Source organism: Homo sapiens, chromosome 18 (assembly GCF_000001405.40).
Source record: "Homo sapiens chromosome 18, GRCh38.p14 Primary Assembly".
Classification (NCBI taxonomy): Eukaryota; Metazoa; Chordata; class Mammalia; order Primates; family Hominidae; genus Homo; species Homo sapiens.
The window spans coordinates 47,867,153-47,889,622 of NC_000018.10; the positions used below are offsets into that span (position 1 = coordinate 47,867,153).

General features: G+C 35.4%; 1 protein-coding gene across 6 annotated transcripts in view; it reads right to left on the bottom strand.

The window, feature by feature from the left end:
• SMAD2 (SMAD family member 2) overlaps positions 1-22,470 on the bottom strand; it is a 121,916-nt gene that overhangs the window by 58,196 nt on the left and 41,250 nt on the right. For 5 of the 6 annotated variants that reach the window (NM_001003652.4, NM_005901.6, XM_047437508.1 and 2 more), the window contains 3 exons: positions 3,323-3,412; positions 2,091-2,284; positions 1,171-1,305 (listed from right to left, as the gene is read on the bottom strand). In NM_001003652.4, coding sequence (NP_001003652.1) covers positions 1,171-1,305; positions 2,091-2,284; positions 3,323-3,412 — 419 coding nt within the window. The remainder of the gene's footprint in view (positions 1-1,170; positions 1,306-2,090; positions 2,285-3,322; positions 3,413-22,470) is intronic. The other variant, NM_001135937.3, reaches the window with a different exon arrangement.

Below are 22,470 nucleotides of genomic sequence, written 5' to 3' on the forward strand. Positions count from 1 at the left end.
ACATCCCACCCTCTCCCTCTCTTAACTTCAGTAAGTTTGTATTTCCTAGCAACCCATAAAGCAGCTTTAAATCCTCTTCTGGAATAAAACAGTAATCAAAGAAATATACATTAAAACAATCAAAAACCACTTCCCATTTGTAAAACCAGCTATTTAAAAAAAAAACTTATCTTTCTTAGTTATCTTTTCTTTTTTTTCTTCCTTACATTTAAAAAATTATCTTCAATGAATAAGCATTATTTCCATGATGGATACATGAAAGAAATAATTGTTTAAATGTACTAAAACTGTATTTTAAGAATTTTGTAAATGCTCTTAAGTTCCTTACATATTTTTAGTGTATAAAATAAGAGTGGAATAAAAGAATATTACAAAAGGAAGAAAGAAATCGAGACACTACAGCTTAATCCTCATCCTAACATCATGCTGTTTCTGCTAGGGAGAAAAATCAACCAAACAAAAAGGAAAACATACAAGAAAAGTAACAAAGTATTAGTTGTTCTCCAAAAAAAAAAAAAAGAAACCATAAAAAACGAAAAGGCCAGATATCATATCGTGGAGTATTACTGGATCACATAATACATCAGAACAAAATTTGAGAACCATGTAGCTGAATTCAATTTTCATCAGAAATTACTGAGATGCAGACGAAACATAATTAAAGGAGGTTTTCTGACGTTCGTGTTATAATATGTAAGTGTTGCTATGTCTATAGAACTAAGTATTATATTTCTTATAGAAATGTTATATTTCTGTTAAATATTACCAAGTTATCTAAGAAAAAGTGATCATTGGGTGGATATTCAGTTACATGTGTTTGGGGGGTACTTTTCTCCTACACCATTTGTTTTGCTTACATTCTGCATCTCGCTTAGCTTCAACAACTAAGACAAACTTACTAAGATCTTTTCTTTTCTGCTTCTCACAGTACTTTGATTAAAGTCACTGCAAAAGAAAATGAAATATAAAGTAAAACTCTTCTCCAAACAAAACTGTTTAATGTACTAGGCTTATACATTTCACAAAATAATCACCCAACGAATCCAATTTTTCTATTAAAAACTCAAAAGCATTTTTAAAAAAGTGAAACCACAATTTACTAAAACTTGAATGCTTATGAACAAAATTTGTATCTATCCAAGTTTTAGGAGATTCAGAAGGCAAAAATACCTGGAATATAATTACTCTGTGGCTCAATTCCTGCTGGGAAGTTAGTGTTTTCTGGAATGGAGTGAGTATAGTCATCCAGAGGCGGAAGTTCTGTTAGGATCTCGGTGTGTCGGGGCACTAATACTGGAGGCAAAACTGAAAAAGTTCAAGAAATCCAAGTTAATGGCAAAGAGCAAAGGGGAGTGGGGGAACCTTTTTTAAAGTTTTCAACAAGAAGAGAAGTTGTAGCTTAATTTTTAAAGCTAGGGTCCACCTACTCGATATATACTAGTTACTGAGAAAATGACAAATCTGATTATGGCTCTAACTTAGGTAGTCTATTATCCAAATTTCCAAGTTCTAATTTATCTCAAACTTTTGGGAACAATGTGATCCTGGTAATATTATATTACCATAAAAGTTCATAAATCCCCATTGGAAAACTTAACATTGTCTTTATCTGTAAAATCAGATATAGGAAATTTTCCAAAAACGCAGCTACTGCTATATTTTTTAATAGTTTCAGGTAGACAGCTAACTAAATGAAAAGTCTTGTTACAAGCTTTACTAAACGGTGTACATACAAATGATGTCATTAAAGTACTTCTAAAAGCACTCCAAGTGCAAAATGCTTGAAAATGTTACTGCAGCAGGGACATGTAGAAGCACATCAGCATAGCGCTGAGCAGACTGCCAATCTACAGGATTTCCTGGATATGCACTTTCATGCCAAATCATATGCTATTCCAAGAAACAGATATGTTTTCTCATTAAAAATTTTTAAAAATAAAAAAATTTTAATTACCACCAAATAATATGCACAATTTAAGGTAATTTATTAGAATTTACACTAAAATTTTCCTGGGTCACAAGAGTACTTAAATATACTGAAGTTCAGGCATTTAATTCAAAACCAAGAAAAAAACTTGCAATATTCCTACCTGGTGTCTCAACTCTCTGATAGTGGTAAGGGTTTACACATACTTCATCCTTTTTAAGATTAAAAGCATATTCGCAGTTTTCAATTGCCTTGAGTTCATGATGACTGTGAAGATCAGGCCAGCGCCATAATCGGCAATATATAACATGTGGCAATCCTTTTCGATGGGATACCTGGAGACGACCATCAAGAGACCTGTTGGGAAGCAAGGGGAAAAGAAAGGAGGGAACTTTAAAAAAAAAAAAAAAAAAGTGCAGTCAAATGGGCTAAATTAGTACAATAAAAGCATAAAGAAAAGAATGACAGCCATTTAGTTAGTTTTAGTGAGAATCAAGAACAAAAATGTACTATTTAATGGATCTGATAAAAGTATGCAGCAGCACTAGCAGATGTTTCTTATAAATATGTCACATAAATGACTCAAATGCCAATGAAAGGCTAACAACTTGGGAAAAACTGATTTTTTAAAAAAGAGAGTTTATGCAGTTATACTTGAAAAACTTTGTCAACTTCTATGTTTAGTAAATCAAACTCATTTTAGAGATGCTTCTAAGGATATTAATTCTGGAGGTGACTGAAGAGTCAGAAAAGGAACTAGTGTGAAGAATGATAAATACCAACAATGATGTGATAGTAACTTCCTCAGACTACTGCAACTCTTTACCCAGTTGTGACTGTTTTGAGAACTGAGGTATATTTATGTAGTTCACAAATAAATGTGGATGGTGATGAATATGATGAGATGAAATGAACAAATACCATATACGCAAAAAAGAAAATGAAGTGATTAAAAAAAGTAACATAAAAATGAGTTAACCTACTGTTAATTGTGATATAAGGGGTTCATTAAGTATGTATTTATTAGTATAAAGATGAGATTCTGATAACAAGAAATTTAGCAAAACTCATCATGTATCTACTTAAAAATTAGGCCAACAACAGATTATAATCTGATCTCAAGCTAAAATAAATATATAGTTATCAAAATTATTATTCTTTAGGGGATACAGTAATTTAAAGAAGATTCAAACTAGAATTGCATTGATTAAAACATCAGCTGAAACATTTAATATATTTTTTATACTGGCAAGCAGATATTTTAAATGCTATGCCTTATTTTACATTAAGGAAACATCCTAGGCAAAATTATACTAAGCAACCCCATATAGGTCTTTCAAAATATACCCCCCTCCCACAAGATCTCTAAGATTCGACAGAGGGCAGAATATTCACCTGGTTTGTTCAGAGAAGCTGTAAAGGCCTGTTGTATCCCACTGATCTATCGTATTTGGTGTACTCAGTCCCCAAATTTCAGAGCAAGTGCTGTGCATAAATTGAAAAACAAAAAATTGATGTGAACATGGAAGCATGGTTATTCAAAATACCATGATGTAAAACATGGAGAATGTACAGAATACTTCCTTCACCCAGAAAATATACAATTGCTTCACTTTTTCACAGGCATGTAGTGCTGGTTACTATATTTTCTATATGAAGGAAGCCAATAAAATGGAACATGTGACTCCAGATAAGTCATGATTATGTTTTTAAAATGTGAACACCAACGCCCTCTAGCTCAATGAATCATACCTATAATGCCCTTACCACTTTCCTGTATTCAAAAGATCTAAAACCTCTGCCATCAGCTTTACTAAGTGCTTCATTTTATAATCCAGTTTTTTAAAAAATTATCTAAAAACAGATGTCAACTGATTTTTAATATAGAAAAAAATCCCAATAAAAATAGACATGCATCCACAGTTAAGATTTTCAGGTTATCTGGTCATGATATTTTTAAGTTTTACTGAAAATTATTTTGTTCTCATCTCTAGAATAAATAAAGAAATAGACTTTGAAGTCATTCTAATTTAGTATACCACCTTAAAAATTTTCTCCCACATTTCTCTCCAGAATATGGGCAGCTCAGAGATAATTCTCCCTTTTTCCCTACCTTTATTTCATTTCATAGTAACTTCTGGTCAGTGAGAGAAGGGAAAGAGAGCTTAAAAGGAAGTTTTGGAATGGAACTTTGACAGCCAATGTCTCAAGTACTAAGTTGTACTTTTCTGAAAAGTCCATTTCTTACATATTACAAAATCATCAAAACTTCAATGCGGATAAAGGAGTATTTCAAAACATCTTTTGAAAATGAATCAAGCAATTGATTAAATTTCATATTTACACATTGTTAGTGAGCTTAACTGGATCAACAGTTCAAAGGGCAATGGTGAGAAGCGCTGGCTTCCTGTGGCCAGGCAACAGAACCACCTGGCATCCTTGGCTTTAGTACTACAGGTGCTGTCACATAGCTATCAGGCTGCAGGAACACATCATGCCCTGCTTTGGGGGCTACAGTGACCCGACAGTTCAAAACAAAACCTGTTCTGAAATTTTCCAGCATCTCATTCAAGTATTTTATAGATTCTCTTGCTTTTTCAGGCTGCAAAATTTACCAGACTATAAAAGCCAGAAAAAGCCAGGTAAATTAAGGCTTAGACCTTTCCCTTTTTTCCAAAGATATACTGATTTAAAAACCATGACATTAATGGTTTATTTAAAAGATATTTTCAAATATCTATTGGAAACATATAGCATGATGTAGTTTAAATCACAACAGAATCACCTCAATTCTACAGACTTCTGAGTCTATTAAAGAAATGGTATACAGGAGACTATTCTTTGAAAATAATTAACAAAAGTGTAGCACAAGAGGCTATTCTGCTCTGTATCAGAACATTTCACTCAAGTTATTCTGGGACTCACATGAGAACCAGAATCTAAAATAGAGCATGAAGTTTACATTGTACTTTATTTAATCCTTGAAAGGAATCAGAGAAGAATAAACAGTAATTGTTAAGAACTTGCAATCAATCTAGAGGCAGACAGATCTAGACCCCAACCCTAATTCGGCCACTTTCCAACTGCTGCCATAGGGTATATTTAAGCCTCAGTTCCATCATTATCATGCCTAACAAAATTGGAAGGTTTATTTTAAAACATTAAATTTGCTTCTAGCTAGTAAAATCATTGCCTGTTTACATAATAAAAAATATTTTTTAAAATAAGCCAATTTATAATAAAACATAGAGCCCTCTGTATCCAAGGGTTCCACATCCTTGGATTCAACCAACCGTGGATCAAAAAGTAGAAAAAATAAGTAAATTTTTAAAACTAAAAAATACAACAATTGAAAAATACAAAATTTAAAAACAATATGGTATAACAACTATTTACACAGCATTTACAATGTATTACATATTATGCATAATATAGAGATGACTTAAAGCAGGAGTCTCAGAGGCCACAGACTGATACCGGTCCACGGCCTGTTAGGAACCAGGACACACAGCAGAAGGTGAGCAGCAGGGGAGAGACCATTACCACCTGAGCTCTGCCTCCTGGAAGATCAGCAGTGGCATTAGATTCTCATAGGAGCAAGAACCCTATTGTGAACTGCACATGCGAGGGCTTTAGGCTGGGCACTCCTTAAGAGAATCTAACTAATGCCTGATGACTGAGGTGGAACGTCTTTATCCCAAAACCATTGCCGCACCACCACGGTCAGTGGAAAACTTGCCTTTCATGACTCTGTCTCCTGGTGCCAAAACGGTTGGGAACAGCCGATTTAAAGTATGAGAAAATGTGCATAGGTTATATGCAAATACAATGCCATTTTATTTTTAAAATAAGGCTTACTGCGGCCTTGACCTCCCAGCCTCAAGTAGTTCTCCAGCCTCAGCCTCCTGAGTAGCTGGGACTATAGGCGTGTGTCACCACGATTGGCTAATTTTAACACTTTTTGTAGAGACAAAGTCTCTTGAGTCCTGGACTCAAGTGATCCTCTCACCTCAGCCTCCCAAAATGCTGGGATTACAGAAGTAAGTCAACGTGCCCAGGCTTACAATGCCATTTTTTATCAGAACTTGAGCATCCACTAATTCTGGTATGAGTGGGAAATCCTAGAACCAATCCCCCTTAGATAGTGAGAGTTGTATAAGCAGCATCTAGATAAATGTAATTAAAACTGTGTCAAACTATACAAAGAAACATTTTAAACATAACTAAAGAACACAAAAGTGCACTGAGCAAAAAAGAAAAACATACGTCCCTACACAGGAAGATACCATCATAGAGGTATTAACTCTACCAAATTTATATATTTGATGCAATCTCAATAAAAATAAATGTTTTAAAAATCCAGGTATTAGTCCAAATACTGTAATAAGCCAAAACAAATAAGTATGACCAGAAAATTCTAACAAATAGTAAAGACCTGTCCTACCAGATTCTGAAGCACATAATAAATTCTCAATAATTAAAACAGTATGCAATTAGTAAAAGAATACACAAAACAGAATGGAGGTTCTAATTCCAGTAATGGCAGAGCAGCCTCAATTAGGCTAACTTTCCTTCATATAACAATGATAAACTCTGAACAAAATAATCAACTATTTGAAAATAGCAGACACAGATCAAAAACAGACAAAAGCTGAAGGGAGGTCCAACTGTCAAAGCTGCAAACTGTACTGGATGAGAGCTGCATTTCTGTGGCTGTGTACCCAAGGGCACTCCCCAGCCACAGCTAGGCAGGGCAACTAGAATTCAAACAGAACACTGCAGGGGGGTTGTTTTTAGAAAACTGCAGTTTTACTGACCTAGAATCAGAGGACACATTTGGGGCTGCCAGAGAGTTTGAAAAAAGAAGGAAGATACCCTGTAAAGAAAGAGGCACAAGGGAAAAACATCAACAATGTGACTGTGAACTCTGCCCAAACTCAACTTTGCTCAAAGATATTTTTTAAAAGCTAAGTATATAGAGATACAGCATATTCACAGATGAGTCAATATTAAGATGTCCATCTGACCTAATTCCCTAATGATTGTTGCCTATTTGTTTTATATCTATTACAGTGACCATTTCAGCAAAAATATTTTTGTAGCAACTGACAAGCTGATATAAAATGTATATGGAAATACTAAGGATCTTGAATAGCAAAACAATCTTGAAAAAGAATTACTGACCCATGGATGAATCTTGGGAATATTCTGATCAAGAGAAGCTGAACACTAAAGTATCTACACTGAATGACTCCACTTATACGAAGCTCTAGAAGTGGCAGAACAAATTCAAAGTGAAAAACAACAGTAATTGTTTCCAGAAGAACCGCTAGGAAAGAGTATGAAAGAACTTTCTGGATGATTGAAATTTCTTTATCTTAAAACACTGGTATATGCATTTGTTGAATCTAACTAAACTGAATATATGATTTGTGCACTTCACCTATAAAAAATTTACCTGAAAAAAGGAAAAACACAAAAGAATGCAAAGAAAAGTAAAAACCAAAACAGAAAAAGTCCCAACAAAAAATTCATAGAACAATTTAGCATATGATGAAGGCACCCTATGAACTGATATGGAAAGGTCTAAAATATGCTACTCCCTGTATTAAAAAAGGACAGGTAAAAAGATCTGTAATTACTCACTAATATATGCATAAAGACACACATACATCATGGACAGTAGTTACTTGAGGTGCAGAGTGGGAAGGGAGAGGTTCCAATGTATGTGTATATGCATGCTTGTATGTGTATACATACATAAACATACGTATTTTTGAGCCATGTGAATGTATATTGCCTTTCACCAAAATTGTAAAAATAAAACAGAAGAAAATATTGCCAGAGAATAAAATGCAAGTCAATGTCATCTTGACACTTCTATAAAAAGATATGGTTCTAAAACATTAGAGGCACATTACTTCCTATACTGCATCATTTAAAGCGCAGTTTGGGCATTACTATAAGAGACAAATAATAACATGCCAGCCTGAGCCCTGATCATTCTTTTCTCACACAATGTCCTTTCTGTCTCACATGAACCTTTGGTACCAATTTTCTTCCATGTGCAATTTATGTTAACTGCCCCTTCCTAGCCACCTTTTAACTTTACTACTAATTCTTTAATAAGTCTAACAAACGAGGTCAATTTTTAAGATGCCTTTGGTAGGTTTTAATGAGGCAGTTTTAATCACCCACTCTTCCTTAAAGATTCTGTCTAACCACAATGTATTTCCCAACAACACCCTGAGCTCCCAAAGCCCTTTGTGTACCACCCAGCAAACAACATATTTGGTGACCCAACTGGTATTTTCATAGTACAAAAGTGGATTATAATATTCCTTATCACATTAAATCATAACATCCTAAATAACACTGGGGAAAAACTGTATCTCCCAGGTTTTCATTTTGTTAATAAAAAGTGTAAGTTATAACTTCTAGGTATGGCCAGTTTCTAAAAAATATTAAAAGAAACAAATGCAGGAAAAATTTTAGAGAAGTAGCACTGATTATAACAACTATATAAAAAGCTTTTTACACATTCAATAAATTTCACTAATCTAAGATTATCTACTTTAAAATGCAACATTATTTGTGTAACACTTGAAAATCCTCTTTCAATTTTATTTATAAGGGGCATCTCAAAGTGAAAAAAATGTGCATCTTACAAACAAATATTTAATGACAATTGTCTTCATAAGCTAGCTACTTTATATCAAGCACTGTGTAAGACTAAATGGATTAGGGACCTCAAAGTAACCTGCAAGTTATGTAAAAATAGTATCCATCACCTATTAAATTGATGTTAATTGGAATTTTGTGGGTTATATAACTGAGTATAAATTTGTCTTTTGGTTAGCGTTAAGTTTGCACTTAAGTATGTTTCTATACATTTAAATAATATTAAAGGAAGTCCACAAGAAATGTCTGTACATTACTCAAATGTGAAAAACAGAAACCTGTACAACATCAAGCTGTTTACAAAGTACTAAGGATAGAAAATAGGTCTGAAAATGTTAAACTAAGACTACTTGCTATGTAAAATCAACATATCCTAAAGAGATTATTAAGTTATTATAACAATGATAGCAATATCCCAAACACATTGGCTCAACATTTCCTAAATTTATTTGACCATCTAACTTCAGGATATTCTTAAAACTCTCATGTATTGAAAAATATCAGCAAAAATTGGTCTCATAAATTCTGCCTGAACAAATTTGATACTGTTTACTAACAAATTAATGTGAAATATTACAATATGTTGAAATAAGATGTAGCAGACCATTAACTAACTACAATGATGTCCCTGCATCAATATACAGATGAACAAGCATACGTATGTTATCTCACGCAAAGTCCCAAAGTTCTTTGCATGGAACAGTTTCTTAAAGACAGATTATCCCCCATCAACTGTGTAATGTTCTTGCTTATATATCTAGCTTAAATTAAAAAGAGGTGGGGAGGAGAGGCAAAACAGCTATTAAAGTCATAAACATACTAATATAGCAACTACCTTTGTTGGCATACAGTATATTAATCACTAAACTAACAGGATGACTTGGTAATAAACCTAATAGAAATCCTTATCAAATTTCCCTAGTAATAACTTTTACAATAAGTATTTCAGTAAAACACATCAAAGATTTTCTTCATCTAAGAATAAGCTGACTTTTGAAAACTGAAATTAAAATTTAATATCTAGTGTACAATTTACAAAGTATACACTCGCCTACATATATACACATCTAAATTAACATTTTGCACTTTGTTCCAATTATCCAGATATTATGTTTGGTCAATTTACTACTTTTTTTGCGTTAAGGATATAGATATTTATTCACATCTTTGTTATGGAGAAAGAAAAGAGAAGCAGTGAAAATTAAGTTGAAGAAAACACTACCAACTTTGGGCAAAAGGTGGCTCGCATCACAGAATCTGGTAACCCTTTAAACCAGTTTTACTGTTCCTACCATATCTGCAAGATTTACTGCTGCAGTTAGACAACCAATAACAAAAGTAATAAACCCCATTGTTTTACTAATTTATTATTTTTCATGATCTTCTTGCCTAAACAGTGTATTTTTTTTTTTTTTTAACAAATCAAAAGGGATAACAACCTAAGTTGCCACCTTGGTAAGATTAAAAGCATGCTGAACACTCAGTAAAATTAGTCAATTAGCAGAATATTATCAACAAAAGGAACTTTCCTAAGGCTCCAGCTCTTGATTACTGATCTACTCATTTAATACAGACTTCTAGGGGAGTAATCTGTAACTATGCATCCATAATTATTTCTACTTAAAATAATCCTTTCATTTTTATATGTGACTTAAGACTAAAAGTTTAGATTTAAACAGCTCAGGAATGAAGAGTTAATCACTGTAATAATTTTTTTAAGTCTCCATAATTACAAGTACTATGTGTGGCTGTATATTTTATCTTGACTACAAATATAATTGAAAGACACAAAATAGATTGTAGTATTCAATTACAAATGTTTAAATGTCATTTATCACATCACTGAAAACAATGTGACTACTTTGATTAAACTTAAATTTTTAATCAATGATTAAGAATGATAGCCTTTTATTTGCCTCAGAATCCAGTCTCTTCCCCATATTTTATTTGCAAAATGTAGACAATCCTGATTGAGAAATAAGTAGGTGCAAATGATTTTTTAAGTTGCTGCATTACAGATGCAAAAAACTGTATCTCTTGAAAATTTGAGATATTCCTGAATAAAAATTGAAAATATAAAAGAAATATATTAAGAAATTTATTTCAAAAAGGTTGAATCATCAACAATAGCTAATAAGTGCTCACATTCCTTCATAATTAAGGCATAATTGGGCAGTAATTAAATCTGGAGACAGTTTAACAGGGTCCTTAACTGGCTTAAACCTTCACTCTGTGTAGAAAATGTTTTTCGATTTTATCTTGTAGCAATGAAATAGTAACCATTCAAAAACAAACAGTCACCAAATGTGCATTCCGGTATGTCAGGGTTTCATTCTAAGTTTCAAATCAGAACAGAGCATGTCTACATTCCAGATACCCAAGCTGTACAGAGCTCTAAGTAGAGCTCACCACACAATGGTGTGGTACTGTTATTTGTATAATTTTATAAGAACACACATGAAACAGAATTTTAAAAAATAAACTAATACCAAGTCTTCCTAATCGGTAACATAGTAAGTCCAAATAATGTCCAGATATGTGAGGAATAGCTTTATTCCAAGGTCTTTGATGCTCATGTAATAAGTACAATTTTAACAACTAATTCTATTACAAAAGACTGCAGAAAGCTCTGTACAGCTGGATCCCTATACGTTCTTAAGAATCAAGCAAACAGCCTGTGCAACAAAGTGAGACCCCATCTCTACAAAATAATTAAAAAATTAGCCAGGCATGGTGGCATGTGCCTGCAGTCCCAGCTATTTGGGAGGCTGAGGCAGGAGGATAGTTTGAGTTCAGGAGTTTCAGGCCACAGTGAGCTATGACGCACTACTGCACTCCAGCCTGGGTAACCGTGAGATCCCATCTTAAAAAACAAAACAAAACGAAAGAATCAAGCAAACTTTTGGAGAGGAATATCTCAGAAAAGAAAAACTCAACAGTTTCTAAGTATTTATTCCAACTTCTCAGATACTTCCATGAACAAGCTTTCCATCTTCTCCTGAGTTCTGTATGATAAAAAATTTCAAACATCCATTAAAGTTACGAGTAAGCACCCTACACATTGATCAGCTAAATTCTGTAATTTGGATTTGTTTTCTTTTGCTCTCTCATGTATCTACTTAACCTCTCTATCCATCCCTTACTTTTTGGAACATTAAAAATAAGGGTGTATGTGGGCAGCCTGGGCAACATGGTGAAACCCCGTCTCTATCAAAAATACAAAATATTAGCTGGGTGTGCTGGTGCACACCTATGCTCCTAGTATTCAGGAGGCCGAGACTTGAGCCCAGTAGGTGGAGGCTGCAGTGAGACTGCACCACTGCACTCACTCCATCTTGAATGACAGAGCTAGACCCTGTCTCAGAGAGAAAAATAAAAGCTGCAGATAACACAAATCTAGACACTTAAGAATGCACATAACTAGAGTTCGCTGTTCTTTTTTTCTTTAGGTTAAATTTACACAGCATGAAACACACATCTTAATGGTACCATTTGAGTTTTCTCAGATGCATACATTGTACACTTCTCAACCCTGTCAAGATCATCACCCATGTCCATTTCTCAATGTCTGGCATCCATGCGCTCATCCCCAGAGGCAACCACTAATCTGATCTTTTCACCATAGGTGTCGTGTCTTCTGGAAAGTCTATGTATGAATGGAATATGGTACATATTCTTTTGGGTCTTTTTTGACTCAGCATGATTTTGAGATTCATCCATGTTAATGTATATGACGTGTGTGTGTGTGTGTGTGTGTGTGTGTGTGTGGAGTCGTTTTCCATTACTTGAACAAGCATGATTTATTTAGTCATTCTTATACTGATAGACACCTGACCTGTTGCCAGGTTTTAATTATTGTGAATAAAGTTGTCATGAACATTCAAGAAAGTACATATCATTATATAGAAATATGATTTCTTTTTTTCTCGGGTAAACACCTAGAAGTGAAAATCTTGAGTCAGTGGATAGATGCATGTTTAGCTTTTCAATAAATTGCCAGATCATTTTCCAGAGTACGATTTTACAGTCCTCCCTCTTTCAATGTATGAGAGAGAGCTCCTGGTTATTCCAAAGCCTCATCAACATTTGGTGTGGTCAGTCTTTAAATTATAGGTAGTCTGATGATTGTGCAGTGGTATTTCATTGTGGTTTCAATTGTCATTTTCCTGAAGCCTACCGATATTACACATTTTTCCATTTCTTTACTGGACCTTTATCTTCAGTGAAGTAGCCAACTACTGTCCATTTTAAAATTAGGCTATCTTTACATTACTGAGTTATAGAAATCTTTATAAATTCTAGATTCAATCCTTTCAGAAATGTTTTGCAAATATTTTCTCCCACTCTGACTTATTTTTTAACAATGTATTTTAATAATATGTTTTGTATACCAATGGAGTCTAACTTAGCAGCTTTCATGGTCACTGCTTTCTATATACTTTGAACAATTCTCTGTTTACCCCCAAGTCATAAATATTCTCCTATATTTTCTTATAAAAGCTTTATAGTTTTAGCTTTAATTAGACTACAATTTATCCAGAAATATTTTGTTTTCACTGGTGTAAGGTGGAGTCATGTTCATTCTTCCACATGGATATTCAGCTGTTCCAGCACCATTTGTTGAAAGACTTTCCTTTCCCTACTGGGTTGCTTTGGCAACTTTGTTGAAAATCATATAGGCACACAGTGTTTATCTATGTGGGGCTATCTTATCTGTTTTTATGTCAGTATCACACTATACAGATTACTATGGCTTCAAGGTGAGTCTTGAAGTCAGGGTAATTTAAGTACTCTAACTTATTACTGAGTTTTCCAATTCACAAGTGTATCCATCAGTTTACTGCATGGTAATTCCAACATGTAGGTCTTCTAGGGTTGGTCTCCTCATTATAAAGGGTCACATTTTCTTTGTTCTTTGTATGTTAGGTAATTTAGGATTGTATGCTAGACATTGTGAATTTTATCTGATGGTAGTTAGAGGTTCTGTTACAATCTTCCAAAAGTCTTCATTTTTGTTTCACCAGACAACTAACCTGGTTGCATTCAAACCACAAACTCTGTCCTGGAGCAATTCAAATCAGGCTGATTATCTGGCTGTACTGTCTACCGTACACATGTGGGATCAGCAGGTGATTTTGGCAAAGTTTGTAGGCAGAATCCAGGGCTCTCTTTCTGAAACTCTCCTTGCTGATATTCACTCCTCACTCTCCAATAGTTGTGATTCTCCCAAGTCTTACCTATGGTGCTTCAAGGCCAGAAAGACTTGGTTTTGTGTTGGAATTTTACCTACCCTGCACACTTTGCATGGACAAAAGCTGTAAAACAGAAAATTCGCCTACGCCATTTCCTTCTTCCGAGTGTCAATCCCCTCTAAAACATGCCTATTTTTGTTTATTCTCCAGTACTTCATGTTATTTTTAGAATTTTGTGCAGTTTGTTATTGAGGGAGTGTCAGTCTGGTAAGAGCATACCTGGCCATATGAGAATCACAACTCCCTCTTCATTTGTTTAACTTCTCTCAGCAAGGTTTCAGCATTTTAAGCAGAGGTCATTGTGTGTGTGTGTTTAATGTATTCCTAAGTATTTAGTACTGATGCTACTATTCATGAATTTTCTTAACACCCCTATTTGTCTGCTGCTAGTATTTACAAAAATACAATTGATTTTTAGACACTGAATCTATAAAGTGCAGCCTTGCTAAATTTACTCATTTGTTTTAGTGGCTATATTTATAGATTCTTTAGGATTTCCTACATAAATAAGCATGTCATCTACAAACAGAATTTTGAAACATTCCTTCAGATCTTTAAACCTTTTATATTTTGTTTTCCTGACTCATTGCGCTTGCTAGGTCTTCTATTAAAATAATAAGGACACAAGAGTAGACATCCCTGTCTTGTTCTTGAGGGAAAACACAGTATTTCATGATTAAGTAAATCCTTAGCTGTTAGTGTTTCTTAAATACCTTTTATCAGACTGAGAAAGTCTCTTTGTTTCTCATTTGCTGGGAATGCTTATCATGAATGGATGATGAATTTTGTCAAATGCTTTTGACCAAGTGAGGTGATCTTATAGTTTCCCTCCTTGGTTAATGCAGTAAATTACATAGTTTTTTTGTTTGTTTGTTTGTTTTGCCCGACAGGGTCTTGCTCTGTCACCCAAACTGGAGTGTGGTGGCGTGATCACTGCTCACTGCAGGTTCAACTTCCTGGGTCCAAGTAACCCTCCCACCTCAGCCTTCCAAATAACTGAAACCACAGGAATGTACTACCACGCTTGGCTTTTTTTTTTTTTTTTTTTTTTTTTTGTGGAGACAGAGTCTTATGTTGCCTAGGCTGGTTTCAAACTCCTTAACTCTCAAGCAATCCTACTGCGTTGGCCTCCCAAAGTGCTGGGATTAGAGGCATAAGCCATCGCATCTGACCTGATTAATTTTTCTTTTTTCGGGGGTGGGGGACAAGGTCCCAATGTCTCATGCAGGCTGGAGTGCACTGGTGCAATCATAGCTCACTTCAGCCTTGAACCCCTGGGCTCGAGTGATCCTCCTGCCTCAGCCTCTGAGTAGCTGAAACCACAGGGGCATGCCACCATGCCTGGGTGGGTAATTTTATCTGTCTATAGAAATGGGGTCTTGCTTTGTTGACCAGGCTGGTCTTGAACTCCTAGGCTTAAGCAATCCTCCTGCCTTGGCCTCCCAAAGTGCTGGGATTACAGGTATGAGCCGCTGCGGCTGGCTTACACTGATTACTTTTTGAAAGTTATAAACTAACCTTGTTGGAATAGAACTCAATTATGATGTATTCTTTTCTCATGTATGTTAGTGATATATTAATCTTTAACTTTTCTTTTAGTTGCATCTTTGTCAGGTTTTGGTTTCAGGGTTATGTGAGCCTCATAAAACAACATTTTTCTGAGTTTATTGTCTATAAGATTGGTGATATTTGTTGCACAAATGCTTAAATTTACCAGTAAAACCATGTGGGCCTGAAGTTTCCTTTGCAGGAAAGCTTTTGATTATGAAGTCAAATTCTTTCATTGTTATAGGGCTACCCAGATCTTGTATTTCTTCATGCATCAGCTGGGGGTAACCTAAATTTCATCATTACAGTTAGTCATCAAATTTAATGGCATAAAATTGTTTATAATATTTGCTTATAATCTTTTTACTGTCTGTAGGACCTACCATGACAATCCCTCTTTCAGTACCAATATAGGTCATTTGTGATTGTGGGCTCTCTGTCTTTTTCTTGATCAGTCTAACAAGCGTTTATCTCTCCAAAGAACTCGCTTTTGGCTTTCTGATTTCTACTCTTAATTTTATTATTTCTTCTTTCTACTTACTTTCTATTTTATCTTTTTAGGTAACTTTCTTTCCTAGCAGATTATTTAAAACTATAAAATTTTCCATTAGGCACTCTTTCAGCTACATCCCACATATGTGATATGCTGTATTTTCATTATAATTTGGTTTGAAATATATTTTACCTCATTTTTCCCCTGAATAACCCATAAGTCAGAATTTTAAGGTTTAATTTCCAATTCTTAACAGATGTCTTATTGGTATTAATTTCTTATTCTATTGGTGGCAGAGAACATACTTTGGATTTCAATCTTTTAAAATTGATTGAGACTTGTGCCCTGTAAACAGTCTTTCCTGGTGAAGTTACCATGAACACTTGAAACGCTTGTATTTCTACTCATGTTGGGTTTAGTATTCTATAAATATCACGTAGGTAGTTAATAATGTAACTTAATAATGTAACTTAAAACTTCTATGTCTTTACTGATTTTTTTGTTCTAATTGAACTCTCCAATTGTGGATTTGTGATTCTGTCCCATTAATTCTACCCAGTTTTGCTGCATGTATTTTTAAGTTCCTTTATTAAGCAGATACAATTTATTGTTATGACTCCCTGATGTTGGTGATTTAGATATATCACTTTACAATCTTCTCTGTTGCTGATCACCTGTCATTTGTATGCTGCGTGCCATTTTTCACCAGCTGCTTTAAGATTCCCTCTTTCATGAGTTTGACCATGATATATCTAAGTGTGGTTTTCTTTTTATTTATCCTGTTTGTGTTGAATAAGAAATCCAACTCCATTTCTGATACTTGACTGCTGATAGGTTTCAAGCCCCACCATTTCCTCTTCCCCTTCTGCCTCGAATCTGGGCAAGCTGGTAAGAAAGCCCAGGTGCTCCACCTGTTGATATTAGAGAAATTTCAAACCAGGCAAGTCTCAGCATATGTACAGTGTAAAAACCAGCCCACAGCCCCATTCCCTAATCACCATAAAACCCCAAGCCAGTCTCCTATCACTGCTCTCTCAAGTCATTTTTGGACCAACTTGGAAGCCTGCCATGCTCTACTCAGACAGCATCATTATGTGAGTAATAAACCTTTTCATGCCCTCTTGGTGCATGTAATATAGGTGACATCATCAGTTTCACTTCAAAATCAAATTTTATATATAAAATCCCATCCCACATATAGTTCACACTTATTAAGCACCAACTATGTACCAAGCTCTTACACATATTAAACCGCTTAATCCTTCAACAGTGCCATGAATCAGGCACTGTTGTCCCCATTTGACAAATGAGGTAATGGAAACACAAAGTAACACGTCTAAGGTCCTACAGCCAGCAAGTGGAAGAGACAGAGGCCACATTTTTAATTATTAACATTATTCCGCCCCATATATAGTTACTAAAAAGAAACAAGTAATATAAACATAGCAAATCAAAGCTAAAACAATAAAACTGGTATAATATCCCAGGTATGTAAAACATTTACACAACATGTTTAATTATAAAAACTGAAGATTTCACTGTAAGAGACATTTTCTCAGGAAAGAAAATTTCTTTGGACAAGTAAATTGAGAAAGCCCCTTCCAAATTAAAATAAGCAGCTTAGGTTTCCAAATATTAATAACTAAATAAAAAATAGGCGGAGACAACAGAACTTCCATAATCACACTCCTGTAAGTCACACAGTCCTATAAGAATAAAATTGACACTTCTACTCATCTTTGATATAGTATAGCCTTTCTTAGAAGAAGGACCAGGTGATGATTGAAAAAAACTTTCTCAATATTTTCCACCTCCACCTCCAAATGCTGTTATTAAAAACTCTACTCTGAGATACCGTTTGATATTTCTGCTGCCCCTGAAAAAACAAAGTATCTCCCACACACAAAATAGTCTCTACTACTGAAAAGATTTAAATATCAATTCTAAAAATGGTTGAAGTATTTCAAGCCCTTCCAAATACAAACTTTTTACTTAAAGAAAACAAAAGCTAACACTGAAAGGGTTCAGGTACATTTACTTTAATAACATAGCTTATCGATTTTCTAGATTTAGTCATATACACACACACACACACACACACACACACACACACACACACACACACACACATATACCCTCCCCCCCCAAGACAGTCTCTGTCACCCAGGCTGGAGTGCAGTGGCACAATCTTGGCTCACTGCAACCTCCGCCTCCTGGGTTCAAGCAATTCTCATGCCTCAGCCTCTCAGATAGCTGGAATTATGACACTTGGCCCAGCTAATTTTTATATGTTTAATAGACACAGGATTTCACTATGTTGGCCAGGCTGGTCTCGAACTCATGACCTCAAGTGACCCACCTGCCTCAGCCTCCCAAAGTGCTGGGATTAAAGGCATGAGCCACCGTGTCTGGCCAATATATACTGTTTTTAACAATTAAAAAGAAAAATAGTAACATAAATGACAAAATAAATATAAAATATAAGTACATGTTATTCTAATCTTAAAATAAGTGCATAAAATCTGGAATACATGGTTGGTCTCTGTATATGTGGGCTCCACATCCATGGACAGAAAATACTAGAGGAAAAACTAGATAAAATAACAATACAACAATGAAGAATACAGGCTGGGCATGGTGACTCACGCTTGTAATCCCAGCACTTTGGGAGGCTGAGGCAGGCAGATCGCTTGAGCCCAGGAGTTCGAGATCAGACTAGGCAACATGATGAAACCCTGTCTCTACCAAAAATACAAAAATTAGCCTAGCATGGTGGCACACAATTGTAATCCCAGGTATTCAAGAGGCTGAGGTGGGAGGATCACCGGAGCCCAGGAAGCAGAGGTTGCAGTAAGCCAACACTGCACTACTGCACTCCAGCCTGGACGACAGAGCCAGACGCTGTCTCCCCACTGCCTCCAAAACAAAGTATATGGTGGGGGATGTACATAGGTTATATGCGAATACTATGCCATTTTATATAAGAGACTTGAGCGTCTCCAAATTTTGGAGATATGGGGTATCCCAAGGATACCAAGGGATGACTTTACATCAACCATAAAACAATGATTACAATACAGAATGTGATTCCATGAAATTCAACTTTTTAAGTTATACAGTTTTATAATGCTTGACTTTGATTGTAAAAGTTTTTATAATCTGACAATTTTTGACAATTAGCATCCCACAAAATAAAAATCAACTCAAATCTGTATAGCACTCTGAATGTGATAAACTGCTTTTATGCATAGAGGTTATGTTTAGATAACATGTTAAAATGTTTAGGCAAATGTTTAAGCACATAGATTAATGTTTTATACCTGTGGATGCAAATTATATAAGGCATCATATAAAAATTACAGGAAAACCCTTTTAAATTACTTAACTTCATTATAAATTTGTGTTCAGTATCTCTCAATGTCCCTATCATCCTAAACATAAATATAAAACCTTCTTTCATTGCCCCCAAACCCCGTTGTCCTAGCAAATTTCAGAGAAACTATATCTATATCTATCCATCTATCTATCTATCTATCTATCTATCTATCTATCTATCTATCTAACCATAAAGATAAGCAAAGTTCTAAAAGACAAAAGGCTGGGGTGAAGGAGTTAGTGAGAAGTCTCCTTATATATTTCAGTTCTAATTTAAGTATTATTAGTGATCACAGTTTCATAAGAGCACCAAGACCATTTCATAGCGCTTCCCATCATAACCCAAAGTCAGAGTTAAAAGTTGGATTTTGAGAGTAAAGACTAACCTACCGCTTCAAGGAAAACGATGATGATAATAGAAGAAAACTGTAGTTGTAACATTTCTTTGAAAATAAAGCATCACTGGCTAATTTAACCAGTATCATGATTATATGCAAAAAAAAAAAAAAAGAAAAGGCTTTTGTTAAAATGGCATGTATTTCACGTAGACACACGTAACATCCCTCTTTTCTCCCCACATATTCTTCCTGTCCCCAGCAACCACTAAATTTGGAATTCTCAATTTTCAAAAAGAGGATACAGACAGCTCATGAAACAAACTAGACTTAGTGAGCTCCCTTCCACCACCACTCTAGTCATTGCTCTCCAACAAGCTCTTCCCAAGCTGCTTTTATCCTGTCTGCACAAAATCCCAAAAAGATTTCAACACTTCCTAGTCATATCCAGATATTTGTATTAACAATAAATGTCTTCAGAAATTAAAATCCAGCCACAGCAAAGCCAAAATCTTACTATCTCATTAATTCTTTTCACGCTACCTCTTCCAGTACTCTCCAGCTATTATTTTTAAGGCCCCTCCCGGTTCTGAAATAGCAGGAAGAGGGAGTCTGAGAGAAAAGGGGCACGATCTTAAGTGGCTGGCTGGACTGTAATCTGATGTGACAGTAATGTGTGATGGAGTCCTGTGGAGGTTGGAAGTCCAAATGCAGACTCTCACCTATAGTTAGTTCCTGATGCAGGAACTTCTCAGGCTTGTCTGCTTGGATCACTGTGACCCTTCAACCAAGTATGGCCTCTTGATCCTTTCAAGGTAAGCCAACTTCAACTATTATGTCTTACTAACGTCTACTTTGTCCATGGGGGTAATTCTTCCACCTTTGACCCATCAAACTCTGACAAAGTGCTGGCCCACTCCCATTGTGCCCTTTCTTCATTCTACCGATACAGGGGCAGCTCCAGCCTTTATCTCACTTTTTAGGCTTTTTCAGATAGAAGTCAAGTACCAGTCTATTTATCTCTCAAACCTCAGCAGACACATGTCAAACTGAGAAGTTCTCGTCAAGTCCTTCAAATTGGATTAACAAAAGGGAGAAATACCTTAACATATACTACTCTCGCCAAAAATCTTTTCACTATGGGGTCCTTCTCTTGAACTCACGATCTTTATACAGCCTACAGGTGAGTAACAGGTTTTAACTGTAGCAATGCTTGACTCAGGGTGTCTTTTCTGCATGTTCTGCATGAACACTATAGCACCTCAATTTTGAATGCAGGTTACTGGCAATCTACTGTTCTCAGATTTGGGGTAAATACCAGATTTGGTAAATACCAGAACATTTCCTATTATAACATTCTGCTATAGTTCCAACTCCAGGTAAAATATAAGCAGGTCACAGCAGTCCAATGTTCTTACTAGAGGGGAAAAAAGGGAAAAAAAAAAAACTTGCTCAAAAGACAATGGAGAGCTATCAAACTAATGAGATCCAGATGAACTAAAACTGCAGCAAAGCAGCTTTCTAGGTGAACTGACAAATGCCTATCACTTCCTCCCCTGGAGTCACGTGTAGATTCTAGGTGCAGGCTAAAGGCTTGGTCTGAGAAAAGAAGCTCTGAGGAATAAAACAGTAGAACTTTTGACAGTCACATGAGTATTCCCCCTCAAGACGCTTATCAGATCTTAAAGCTGAGGCTAAAGAGCTCATACTTTCAAAGTCACCTCATACTTCGAAAAAGTAGAAGTGAATCTCCCAGTGTTTCAGGGGTTAGGTGACAGTCTAACAAGCTTTCAATCAAAATCCCTGGAGCGCTGTTTGCAGGAAAGGTATAATCCAGTGGCAGACTAAACCAAATTAAAATGGCAGTCTAGCCCCACCCAGCTCAATCGCTAATTAGATTAAGGGGAGCTTCTCTCTATCTACCTGGTAAAGGTAGGAAAGGTCAAATACTCTGGGGAGAGCATTATTTGCAAGATCTTTATGAGTGAATTTTACATAATGTACAAAACATATGGCATACAATAAAAGCTGTATGACATGAAAATGCAGGAAAATTTGAGAAAGAAAAGAATGGACAATAACAGAAGCAGACCAACAGATGATCCAGACATTAGAACTGCCACACAGAAGACTTTAAAGTAACTATTATAAATATATTAAGGAAATAGACAAAATGGAGAATTTCAACAGATTTGGGGTCTATAATATCAAAGGAACATACTATAACTGAAGGATATATTTGAAATTAAGAACTTACGTAGGCTTAACAGACTGAATACAGCACAAAAACAGGATCAGTAAACTCAAAAGTAGATCAACAGAAAATATCTAAATTGAAAAAGAGAAAAAGAAAAAAAAGGAAATGAAAACAACAGAACTGTAAGAGACGTTCTGATTTTAGCCCAAGTACAACAGAAGATTTAAAGCAAGATATCCTAAACTGCTGTTTTACTATTATCTCACCTCTCTCCATAGTCCATGTGTGGGTATTGTCTATCTCAGGCACTTTGGATAGTGATACATTTACTTATATTGCCAGTGAGGACCACACAGGCCTGGAAGGACTCTACTACAAGACAGGAAGGGGAAGGAGTAAACAGTATGGTTTTTCCCAGAATGTAGTCACATAAGAATGTCCTGGGTATGACATTTTGGGCTGGATGGTAAATACTTTAAAAAAAAAAAGGCCTGGGTAGCCTAGAATGGTTCCAGGTAAGACTGGAAACAGTCGGGCGCGGTGGCTCACACCTGTAATCCCAGCACTTTGGGAGGCCGAGGTGGGCGGATCACGAGGTCAGGAGATCGAGACCATCCTGGCTAACACGGTGAAACTCCGTCTCTACTAAAAATACAAAAAAT